Source organism: Homo sapiens, chromosome 11 (assembly GCF_000001405.40).
Source record: "Homo sapiens chromosome 11, GRCh38.p14 Primary Assembly".
NCBI classification, from domain to species: Eukaryota; Metazoa; Chordata; class Mammalia; order Primates; family Hominidae; genus Homo; species Homo sapiens.
Genome location: NC_000011.10, coordinates 28,210,403 through 28,223,030, shown reverse-complemented (window position 1 = coordinate 28,223,030; position 12,628 = coordinate 28,210,403). Strand labels below are relative to the sequence as shown.

The 12,628-nt window shown below is 38.0% G+C and overlaps 1 protein-coding gene across 11 annotated transcripts in view; it reads right to left on the bottom strand.

Annotated features, from left to right (window-relative positions):
• METTL15 (methyltransferase 15, mitochondrial 12S rRNA N4-cytidine) overlaps positions 1-12,628 on the bottom strand; it is a 424,088-nt gene that overhangs the window by 309,445 nt on the left and 102,015 nt on the right. For 9 of the 11 annotated variants that reach the window (XR_007062458.1, XR_930849.3, NM_152636.3 and 6 more), the window contains one exon: positions 11,833-11,969. Coding sequence is in view for 7 of the 11 variants with exons in the window: in NM_152636.3 (NP_689849.2) it covers positions 11,833-11,969 (137 nt within the window). In the remaining 4 variants the exon portion in view is untranslated. Of the gene's footprint in view, positions 1-11,832; positions 11,970-12,628 lie in introns of those variants that run through there. The other 2 variants (XM_047426518.1, XM_047426517.1) reach the window with 2 other exon arrangements.

The following is a 12,628-nucleotide window of genomic DNA, read 5'->3' as shown; positions in this document are numbered from 1 at the left end:
CACATCCTCACTAGCAAAATTATGTTTTTCAGTATTATACCATTATTATTTTGATTGCCCTCATTATTGCTACTGAATTGGAGCATCTTTTCACAGTTTAATCTTCTATGAATCACCCTTCTGTATGTTTTGTTGTCTTCTCTCTAGTTTTGTAAGAACTTATCCTATATAGTAGATATCAATCTTTTTCCTATCTTCTATATTACTAACATTTATTTTTCAAATTTGCTGTTAGAAATTACCAAACTAGTCTTGCCATAGGTTTTTTAAAATTACATAATCATATTTATTTTATAGATTTATGATTTCTAGTCTAAAGAAGTTTCTCAGAGGGTGGTTCCAAGATGGCCGAATAGGAACAGGTCCAGTCTACAGCACCCAGCATGAGCAAAGCAGAAGATGGATGATTTCTGCACTTCCAACTGAGGTACCAGGTTCATCTCACTGGGGATTGTAGGACAGTGGGTGCAGGACAGTGGATGAAGCACACCAAGCGTGAGCCAAAGCAGGGCGAGGCATCGCCTCACCCCAGAAGTGCAAGGGGTCAGGGAATTCCCTTTCCTAGCCAATGAAAAGGGTGACAGACGGCACCTGGAAAATCGGGTTACTCCCACCCTAATACTGCGCTTTTCTGACGGTCTTAGCAAACAGCACACCAGGAGATTATATCCTGGGCATGGCTAGGAGGGTCCTATGCCCACGGAGCCTCACTCATTGCTAGCACAGCAGTCTGAGATCAAACGGCAAGGGAGCAGCCAGGCTGGGGGAGGGGCGCCCGCCATTGCTGAGGCTTCAGCAGGTAAACAAAGCAGCTGGGAAGCTCAAACTGGGTGAAGCCCACCGCAGCTCAAGGAGGCCTGCCTGCCTCTGTAGGCTCCACCTCTGGAGGCAGGGCATAGCTAAACAAAAGGCAGCAGAAACCTCTGCAGACTTAAATATCCCTGTCTGACAGCTTGGAAGACAGTAGTGGTTCTCCCAGCATGCAGCTTGAGATCTGAGAACAGACAGACTGCCTCCTCAAGTGGGTCCCTGACCCCTCAGTAGCCTAACTGGAAGGCATCCCCCAGTAGAGGCAGACTAACACCTCACACGGCCAGGTACCCCTCTGAGACAAAACTTCCAGAGGAACGATCAGGCAGCAACATTTGCTGTTCACCAATATTTGCTGTTCTACAGCCACCTCTGCTGATACCCAGGCAAACAGGGTCTGGAGTGGACCTCCAGCAAACTCCAGCAGATGTGCAGCTGAGGGTCCTGACTGTTAGAAGGAAAACTAACAAACAGAAAGGACATCCACACCAAAACCCCATCTGTACATCACCATCATCAAAGACGAAAGGTAGATAAAACCATAAAGATGGGGAAAAAACAGAGCAGAAAAACTGGAAATTCTAAAAATAAGAGTGCCTCTCCTCCTCCAAGGGAACACAGCTCCTCACCACCAACGGAAAACAGAGAATGACTTTGACAAGTTGAGAGAAGAAGGCTTCAGACGATCAAACTTCTCCGAGCTAAAGGAGGAAGTACAAACCCATGGCAAAGAAGTTAAAAACCTTGAAAAAAAATTAGATGAATGGTTAACTAGAATAACCAATGCAGACAAGTCCTTAAAGAACCTGATGGAGCTGAAAACCATGGCACGAGAACTGCGTAACGAATGCACAAGCTTCAGTAGCCGATTCGATCAACTGGATCAAAGGGTATCAGTGATGGAAGATCAAATGAATGAAATGAAGCGAGAAGAGAAATTTAGAGAAAAAAGAATAAAAAGAAATGAACAAAGCCTCCAAGAAATATGGGACTATGTGAAAAGACCAAATCTACATCTGATTGGTGTACCTGAAAGTGATGGGGAGAATGGAACCAAGTTGGAAAACAGTCTGCAGGATACTATCCAGGAGAACTTCCTCAATCTAGCAAGGTAGGCCAACATTCAAATGCAGGAAACACAGAGAACACCACAAAGATACTCCACGAGAATAGCAACTCCAAGACACATAACTGTCAGATTCACCAAAGTTGAAATGAAGGAAAAAATGTTAAGGGCAGCCAGAGAGAAAGGTCCGGTTACCCACAAAGGGAAGCCCATCAGACTAACAGTTGATCTCTCCGCAAAACTCTACAAGCCAGAAGAGAGTGGGGGCCAATATTCAACATTCTTAAAGAAAACAATTTTCAATCCAGAATTTCATATCCAGCCAAACTAAGCTTCGTGAGTGAAGGAGAAATAAGATACTTTACAGACAAGCAAATACTGAGAGATTCTGTCACCACCAGCCCTGCCCTACAAGAGCTCCTGAAGGAAGCACTAAACATGGAAACGAACAACCGGTACCAGCCACTGCAAAAACATGCCAAATTGTAAAGACCATCGAGGCTAGGAAGAAACTTCATCAACTAACGGGCCAAATAACCAACTAACATCATAATGACGGGATCAAATTCACACATAACAATATTAACCTTAAATGTCAATGGGCTAAATGCTCCAATTAAAAGACACATACTGGCAAATTGGATAAAGAGTCAAGACTCATCAGTGTGCTGTATTCAGGAAACCCATCTCATGTGCAGAGACACACATAGGCTCAAAATAAAGGAATGGAGGAAGATCTACCAAGCAAATGGAAAACAAAAAAAGGCAGGAGTTGCAATCCAAGTCTCTGATAAAACACACTTTAAACCAACAAAGATCAAAAGAGACAAAGAAGCCCATTACATAATGGTAAAGTGATCAATTCAACAAGAAGAGCTAACTATCCTAAATATATATGCACCCAATACAGGAGCACCCAGATTCATAAAGCAAGTCCTCAGAGACCTACAAAGAGACTTCGATTCCCACACAACAATAATGGCAGACTTTAACACCCCACTGTCAACATTAGACAGATCAACAAGACAGAAAGTTAAAAAAGATATACAGGAATTGAACTCAGCTCTGCACAAAGCGGACCTAACAGACATCTACAGAACTCTCTACCCCAAATCAACAGAATATACATTCTTCTCAGCACCACATCGCACTTATTCCAAAATTGACCACATAGTTGGAAATAAAGCACTCATCAGCAAATGTTAAAGAACAGAAATTATAACGAACTGTCTCTCAGACCATAGTGCAATCAACCTAGAAATCAGGATTAAGAAACTCACTCAAAACCACTCAACTACATGGAAACTGAACAACCTGCTCCTGAATGACTACTGGGTACATAACTAAATGAAGGCAGAAATAAAGATGTTCTTTGAAACCAACGAGAACAAAGAAACAACATACCAGAATCTATGGGACACATTTAAAGCAGTGTGTAGAGGGAAATTTATAGCACTAAATGCCCACAAGAGAAAGCAGGAAAGATCTGAAATTCACACCCTAACATCACAATTAAAAGAACTAGAGAAGCAAGAGCACACACATTCAAAAGCTAGCAGAAGGCAAGAAATAACTAACATCAGAGCAGAACTGAAGGAGTTAGAGACATAAAAAAACCTTCAAAAAAATCAATAAATCAAGGAGCTGGTTTTGTGAAAAGGTCAACAAAATTGATAGACTGCTAGCAAGACTAATAAAGAAGAAAAGAGAGAAGAATCAAATAGATGCAATAAAAAATGATAAAGGGGATATCACCACCGATCCCACAGAAATACAAACTACCATCACAGAATACTATAAACACCTCTACACAACTAAACTAGAAAATCTAGAAGAAATGGATAAATTCCTCATCACACACAGCCTCCCAAGACTAAACCAGGAAGAAGTTGAATCTCTGAATAGACCAATAACAGGCTCTGAAATTGAGGCAATAATTAATAGCTTACCAACCAAAAAAAGTCCAGGACCAGACAGACTCACAGCCTAATTCTACCAGAGGTACAAGGAGAAGTTGGTACCATTCCTTCGAAAACTATTCCAATCAATAGAAAAAGAGGGAATCCTCCCTAACTCATTTTATGAGGCCAGCATCATCCTGATACCAAAGCCGGGCAGAGACACAACAAAAAAAGAGAATTTTAGAACAATATCCCTGATGAACATCGATGCAAAAATCCTCAATAACATACTGGCAAACCGAATCCAGCAACACATCAAAGAGCTTATCCACCATGATCAAGTGGGCTTCATCCCTGGGATGCAAGGCTGCTTCAATATACGCAAATCAATAAACGTATTCCAGCATATAAACAGAACCAACGACAAAAACCACATGATTATCTCAATACATGCAGAAAAGGCCTTTGAAAAAATTCAACAGCCCTGCATGCTAAAAACTCTCAATAAATTAGGTATTGATGGGACGTATCTCAAAATAATAAGAGCTATTTATGACAACCCCACAGCCAATATCATACTGAATGTGCAAAAACTGGAAGCATTCCCTTTGAAAACTGGCACAAGACACGGACGCCCTCTCTCACTACTCCTATTCAACACAGTGTTGGAAGTTCTGGCCAGGGCAATCAGGCAGGAGAAGGAAATAAAGGGTATTCAATTAGGAAAACAGGAAGTCAAATTGTTCCTGTTTGCAGATGACATGATTGTATATCTAGAAAACCCCATCGTCTCAGCCCAAAATCTCTTTAAGCTGATAAGCAACTTCAGCAAAGTCTCAGGATACAAAATCAATGTACAAAAATCACAAGCATTCTTATACACCAACAACAGACAAACACAGAGCCAAATCATGAGTGAACTCCCATTCACAATTGCTTCAAAGAGAATAACACACCTAGGAATCCAACTTACAAGGGATGTGAAGCACTTCTTCCAGGACAACTACAAACCACGGCTCAAGGAAATAAAAGAGGATACAAACATGTGGAAGAACATTCCATGCTCATGGGTAGGAAGAATCAATATAGTGAAAATGGCCACACTATCCAAGGTAATTTATAGATTCAATGCCATCCCCATCAAGCTACCAATGACTTTCTTCTCGGAATAGGAAAAAACTACTTTGAAGTTCATATGGAACCAAAAAAGAGCCCACATCGCCAAGTCACGCTAAGCCAAAAGAACAAAGCTGGTAGCATCAAGCTACCTGACTTCAAACTACACTACAAGGCTACAGTAACCAAAACAGCATGGTACTGGTACCAAAACAGAGATATAGACCAAAGGAACCGAATAGAGCCCTCAGAAAAAATGCCGCATATCTACAACTATCTGATCTTTGACAAACCTGACAAAAACAAGAAATGGAGAAAGGATTCCCTATTTAATAAATGGTGCTGGGAAAACTGGCTAGCCATATGTAGAAAGCTGAAACTGGATCCCTTCCTTACACCTCCTACAAAAATTAATTCCAAATGGATTAAAGACTTAAATGGTAGACCTAAAACCATAAAAACCCTAGAAGAAAACCTAGGCAATACCATTCAGGACATAGGCATGGGTAAGGATTTCATATCTAAAACACCAAAAGCAATGGGAACAAAAGCCAAAATTGACAAATGGGATCTAATTAAACTAAAGAGCTTCTGCACAGCAAAAGAAACTACCATCAGAGTGAACAGGCAACCTACAGAATGGGAGAAAATTTTTGCAACCTACTCATCTGACAAAGGGCTAATATCCAGAATCTACAATGAACTCCAACAAATTTACAAGAAAAAAACAACCCCTTCAACAAGTGGGCAAAGGATACGAACAGACACTTCTCAAAAGAAGACATTTATGCAGCCAAAAGACACATGTAAAAATGCTCATCATCACTGGCCATCAGAGAAATGCAAATCAAAACCACAATGAGATACCATCTCACACCAGTTAGAATGGCGATCATTAAAAAGTCAGGAAACAACAGGTGCTGGAGAGGATGTGGAGAAATAGGAACACTTTTACACTGTTGGTGGGACTGTAAACTAGTTCAACCGTTATGGAAGTCAGTGTGGCGATTCCTCAGGGATCTAGAATTAGAAATACCATTTGACCCAGCCAGCCCATTACTGGGTATATACCCTAAGGATTATAAATCATGCTGCTATAAAGACACATGCACACGTATGTTTATTGTGGCACTATTCACAATAGCAAAGACTTGGAACCAACCCAAATGTCCATCAATGATAGACTGGATTAAGAAAATGTGGCACATATACACCATGGAATACTATGCAGCCATAAAAAAAGATGAGTTCATGTCCTTTGTAGGGACATGGATGAGGCTGGAAACCATCATTCTCAGCAAACTATCGCAAGGACAGAAAACCAAACACCGCATGTTCTCACTCATAGGTTGGAGTTGAACAATGAGAACACTTGGACACAGGAAGGGGAATAGCATACACTGGGGCCTGTTGTGGGGTGGGGGGAGGGGGGAGGGATAGCATTTGGAGATATACCTAATGTAAATGATGAGCTAATGGGTGCAGCACAGCAACATGGCACATGTATACATATGTAATAAATCTGCATGTTGTGCACATGTACCCTAAAATTTAAAGTATAATAAAAAAAAGAAGTTTCTCACTACTAGATTGTGTATATAGTCTCTCCAATTTTCTCATAGAACTTGTATATTCAAATTTTCACAATTTTTTCACACCATCTAGAAGTTATTCTTGAATCCAAATTTTGAAATGGATCTATTTTACTTTCTTCAAGTCTGACAGGCATTGTAACAGCATCATTTTTTAATTATGCACCATTTTCTCAATGAATTAAAATATTTTAATCTTCAATTAAATGCCTTTATTTAGCAGAATCAATTTTTGGATTATTTCCTCCATTAATCCACTTGCCTATTCTTGTATCAATATTGTATTGATTCATTACAGTGATTTTATAGTGTAATCTTATATCTAGTAAGGCAGGTTTCCTCTTACTTTTTAATTCAAAAAACATCTTGTCACTTTTTGCCCCATACAAACTAAGGAGCACATCATCCAAATCTAAAAAACAAAGTAATTTACATGTACAATACATGTATATATTAATTTAGGGAGCATTAACTCTTTTCATTTGTATTCTTTCTGATCTGTCTATCCTTCCATGCATGCATCCATCCATCCACCCATCTTGAGACAGGATCTTGCTCTGTCACCAAGGTTGGAGCGCAATGTCATGACTACAGCTCACTGCAATCTCAACCTCCTGAGTACCACCACAGCCTCCTGAGTACCTGGGACTACAGGTGCACACCACCATTTCTCTGTAAGAAACGGTGTCTCACTATGTTGCCAGGACTGGTCTCCTAACTCCTGAGCTCAAGAGATCCTCCTGCTTTGGCCTCACAAAGTGGTGAGGTTGCAGGTATGATCCTCTTCGTTCCATCCTCTTTTTATAATATTAATTCTCTCTACCTCAAAAGAAATATGTCTTCCCTTTTGTTCAAATCTTCTTGTATGCCCTTCAAAAACATTATAGTTTTCTTTAACTTGGAAGTGTGCTCTTTGTTAAATTTATTACTAAATATTTTATACAATTTTAGGAGCTGTTGTGAATAGAATATTTTTTCCCATTTCCCTTTCTAGGTACTGTTGGGGCTCAGAAAACAATAGCCCCAAGTGAAGGCCTAAGAAGCAGACTTAGAAGCAAAGTTACCTTCTGACCACCTCTTTCCCTGCTGTCTCTCATTCTCCTCAGAGGCGAGCCACACTAGATTCCCTCTTCTCCAACGTGGGTCATAGAAACCAGAACCCCTTTCCTCCAAAGCCAGCTTTAAAGCCTAAAATATTACTCTAACCTCCCCTATAGAAACCAGAACCTTTTTTCTCCAAAGCCAGCTTCAAAGCCTAAAATATTAATCTAACTTCCCCCACTTCTTTCTGTGTAATAGAATAAATGGCCATAAAGAAATTAAGACCCTCATTCACAGGGGTCCTACCTTCACACCCAGCAAAAAGGAATGTTGCATAGAGAGGCCTTATTGAGTTCCCCCAACTCAGTCAGTTAGCATTAGACCATATATCCTTTTTGTCCAATCATAGTTCTACATGCTCTCCATACTTTATTGAATTTAAGCATAAAAAATGGATAGTTCTCTCTATATCTTTGCATCTTCTTTCTGAAGGCTCCTATGCCATGTAAAACTATGTCAAATAAATTTGTTATTCTTTTCTCTTGTCAACCTCTCTTTGTTATAGGGGTATCAGCTGTGACCCTTATGCTGGAAAGGAAAGGGCTTACTTCCTTGTTGTCCCTAGAGTTCTTCTATTCTGAATAGAGTTTTAAATTTTTAGCTAAACATCTTATCATCTTACTAATTTTATAAGTATTTGGAGTTTTTAACTATTCAGTAGATCATTATAAAAAGAATATTCTAACCTTGCTTTAGCCTTTGTCAGACCTTCAAAAAATATTGAGAAATACTATTTATAGAAAAATCCTATTTACATCCTAATTTTGTCTTAAATAGTTACAGTACTTCACATTTTAGGAAAATAATTACTGCTTGTCCTTGATTGAGAATATTTTACATTTAAGTAGTTTCCTTATATTTAACAGAAATTTAAATAAGAATAGCTAGCTGATTATTGTCATGCTTATCAACCTATCATTGATTAACTACCTGACACGGAACATCTCATCTTCATGAAATAAACTTCATTAGGCCACGGGTATTACTGTTTTAATTAAATAACAGGTAAATTAGATATACTAGTATTTCCTTTTCAATTTTTGTATTTCTATACTTCAGCAAACTTAGACCTTTTTCCTTTTTATACTATCTCTATCAAGATTTGGTATTAGGCCAGGCATGGTGGCTCATGCCTATAATCCCAGTCCTGTGGGAGGCTGAGGTGGGATGATCACTTGAGCTCAGGAGTTCAAGACCAGCCTGGGCAACATAGAGAGACCTCATCTCTACTAAAAATAAAAAATTAGACAGGTGCATACCTGTAGTCCCAGCTACTTGAGAGGCTGAGGCAGAAGGGTCACTTGAGCCCAGGAAGCAGAGGCTGCAGTAAGCTATGATGGCATCACTGCACTCCAGCCTGGGCAACAGAGTGAAAACTTGTCTCCAATAAAAAAAAAGATGGGTATTAAAATCATGCTAAATTCATAATGTTAACTGAAATAACTTTCCAAATTTACCATGGTCAGGATTAGTGTAAAAGGCATTGCTTTGGCCGGGCGTGGTGGCTCACACCTGTAATCCCAGCACTTTGGGAGGCCGAGGCGGGCGGATCATGAGGTCAGGAGATCGAGACCATCTTGGCTAACACGGTGAAACCCCGTCTCTACTAAAAATACAAAAAATTAGCCAGGCACGGTGACAAGCGCCTATAGTCCCAGCTACTCGGGAGGCTGAGGCAGGAGAATAGTGTGAACCCGGGAGGCGGACCTTGCAGTGAGCCGAGATAGCGCCACTGCAGTCCGGCCTGGGTGAAAGAGCTAGACTCCGTCTCAAAAAAAAAAAAAAAGAAAAAAAGGCATTGCTTTTTCCTATTTTTTTTTTTTTTTTTAAGAATTAGATAACTGCAAATCCATTTGGTCAGGGTCAGTTACCTTCTAATTTCTATTACGGTAATGACATTCAAATTTTGTAACTATTAATCAAGTTTTAATAATTTATATTTTATTAGGATATCATTCATTTCATCTAGGTTTTGCAAGTTACCAGAGAATTGCAGTTTTATTATCTTATGATGAACTTATCTTGTGTCTATGGTTGGTCTTCCCTCTGAATCTTAATCACACTTTTTGTCTCTAGAAATCAGGTTCAAAAGTGATTTTGCTATTTTCAAAGACTGATCTCTTGTGATCTCTTTATCCTTTCAATTTTTTTCTTCTTTTTTTGTTTATACTTTCCTTGATTCTAGCTTTTATCTGTACTAATTCCTTCTTCTTGGCTTACTCTGATTTGTTTCCTTGTTCTTATCTAATTTATTATGTTTGACAAAGAAATCATTTTGTCAGTGAAGTAAAAAAAGTCTCAAGATTTGAGCCAAGGCAGTAATATTTAATAAAATGAGGCTAGAGATTGGAATACATGTCGCAGGTCTGTCCCCATAAAGTCGTTTATGCCTTTTAGCAAATCACTTCATCTATCTGGCTAATAGTTTCCACATCTATAAACTGAAAAGAATATACAGCCTGATAGTTCCTGTTAGGTTAAAAAAAAATTACACATGGTAAAATTTGTAAACTTTAAGCTACATTTGAGAAAGTGTGGTGTTTAAAGGAATAAGAGCCACTGAAATCATTGGATTGGGAATCATTGCCTTAAGAAACAACAATATCTTACGAGAATTCAGTTTTTCTATGACAGTAAAGTATGACTGGCCCTCCTTATCTGTGGATTCCACATCAATTGATTCAACTAACTGCAGATCATAAAAAAAGACACGTGCATCTGTATTAGACATGTACAAAACTTTTTTCTTCTTGTCACTATTCCCTAAACAATAAAGTATAACAACTGTTTAAACAGCATTTACTTTGTATTAGGTAAGAAACTTAGAGATGATTTAAACTATATGGGAGGATGTGTGTAGGTTATATGCACATACTGAACCATTTTATGTAAGGGAATTGAGCATCCATGGATTTTGGTATCCACTTCTCCTCAGGTACAAAGGGACTGCTGTATAAAAGAGGCCTATACTTCATGAATGTTCACATCATAACCAAGTGAACTCATACAACGTTTCGCAAATATGAATGCTCTAATAAAACATCTTCTTAAAGAAGGCGCATCTAAGTTACACTGCAGAAGACAGATAGATTTAAAATATTAAAAATTAGTACCATGTCATTAAATCACGTCTTCATATTATTCTCGGAAGAAATGAAATAATCTGCGGTCAAATGGTAGGTTTCAGGGACTCCATAAATCCTATGATCTTGTAAACAAAAGCTTATGTGTATTTATTTATAGTTTTATGGGGAGAGTTAATCACATTCATTAGATTTGCAAAGAGTTTGGGACCAGAAAGAGGCTGTAAATACTATTCTAGATGACGAATTACACTTCCTATTCTTAGTGTCTGATTAAACTTTTCCATGGTCATACTTTTCGAACTTCACCAAAGAGACCATTTTGTTGTTGAATAGCTACAACTAGTAAAAACTCTAGTCCACATCAAGTCAAAACTTCAACTTTTGATGTGAACTACAGTTCACATCAAGTCAAAATTACCTCTCAAGTTCCCATCTATTTTCTTGACTCCAGTCTCTGATGAATGACAGAATAAAACAATTTCCCATTCCTGAAAACAGCCCTTTATGTATTTGGAGAGAGCCATCTTAGCTCCAAGATATTTTTCTCTTTTAAAATGATGGCTTTAAACAACATACCATGTCTACTCCCTAATTCAAAATGTTTCTTTAAAGGCAGATGGTTTTACCACTCATTCATATAATATTTTATATTTTTAAAAAGTTCTTTAGTTATACATCACTTTTTCTGATAGAAGGATGGATCACTCTAGATTTACTTGTGAATTTCAGAAAATTCAAAGGAAACAAGTATATTATGTTGATGTATATGTCCTCATGAGTTCTACAGAATTCTCACATACTTATTTACTCTGCTAAATTCTTAGAAATAAACTCATAAAAATGTTTAAAAATTATTTTTTGACTATGAGTTATTGTCAAAACTCATTTTTTGTGGATGGATTCCAAAACACTTTCAATCTTGTAGGTGGAAGACATTTTGTATTTCTTTTTATGGATTCAGAAAGGATAACTGGAAAATAGCATTACTTTAAGTGGTACTAAAAACATCACTTACATTAATTCTTTTTGGGGAAAAAAGAAGAAAATATTTACTGGAGTAAAATATAGCCCATGCAAAGCAGAACAAATTCCAAGGTGGTAAACCAAGCTCTGTAAAACTAAGAACCAAAATCAAATAAATATGCAAGGGTATTACTTACGGATACAACTCTGAAAGATGTTCAGCTAATGCATAAGCTGTTGGGTCTCTGTCCAAGGCATAGAGAACAATATCTGACTCCTTCTGCAGAATGGCTTTTGTGTGCCCTCCCGAACCAAATGTCATATCTAGAAAAATCTAGCAAACACAGAAAAAGAAAATTACAACTTAGCATAAACAAAACTTATTCTTGACAACTATCTCAATTTCTAGAAGCACACAATGATTTTCAGACTTGACAGTAAATAGGAAAATAATTACAATCGTTGTGCCTATAGTTGAATTTGTTACATGTGAGATCTGGCTCAATTATGAGTGATAAGTCTAAAAGAACTGATCAGACTATCAGTAAAATAACCTCTAACACAGACTGGCTAATTCAAGACAAATTTATATTTCTCTCTATAAGGTCAAACTGGTCACACTGTTGTGCCCCCAGCTCTTTAACACTTCCCAGCATCCAGCTGGTAATAACATTTTCAATAATTTCTCATTTAGAGATGGCTTACAATTAGTGTGGCTCATTTTATCTCAATTTCTCTTAAAGCTTTCTATGAAAATGATACTCAAGAACAGAAAGACAGAGAGAGAGAATAAACATCCCTAATAATAAATAAGCACAGGACAAATCAGATAAAATCTGGAAAACTGACAAACTTACAGATTGTATCTGTAATAATAAAATAACAAATATGAACTGAGAAGAAAAAAAAATGCTTTTCAAGTCAAAATACCTAGGGTAAACTCTAGGTTTGACACAAAGTATCTATGTCTTTGGGATAGTTACTTAAAGTCGC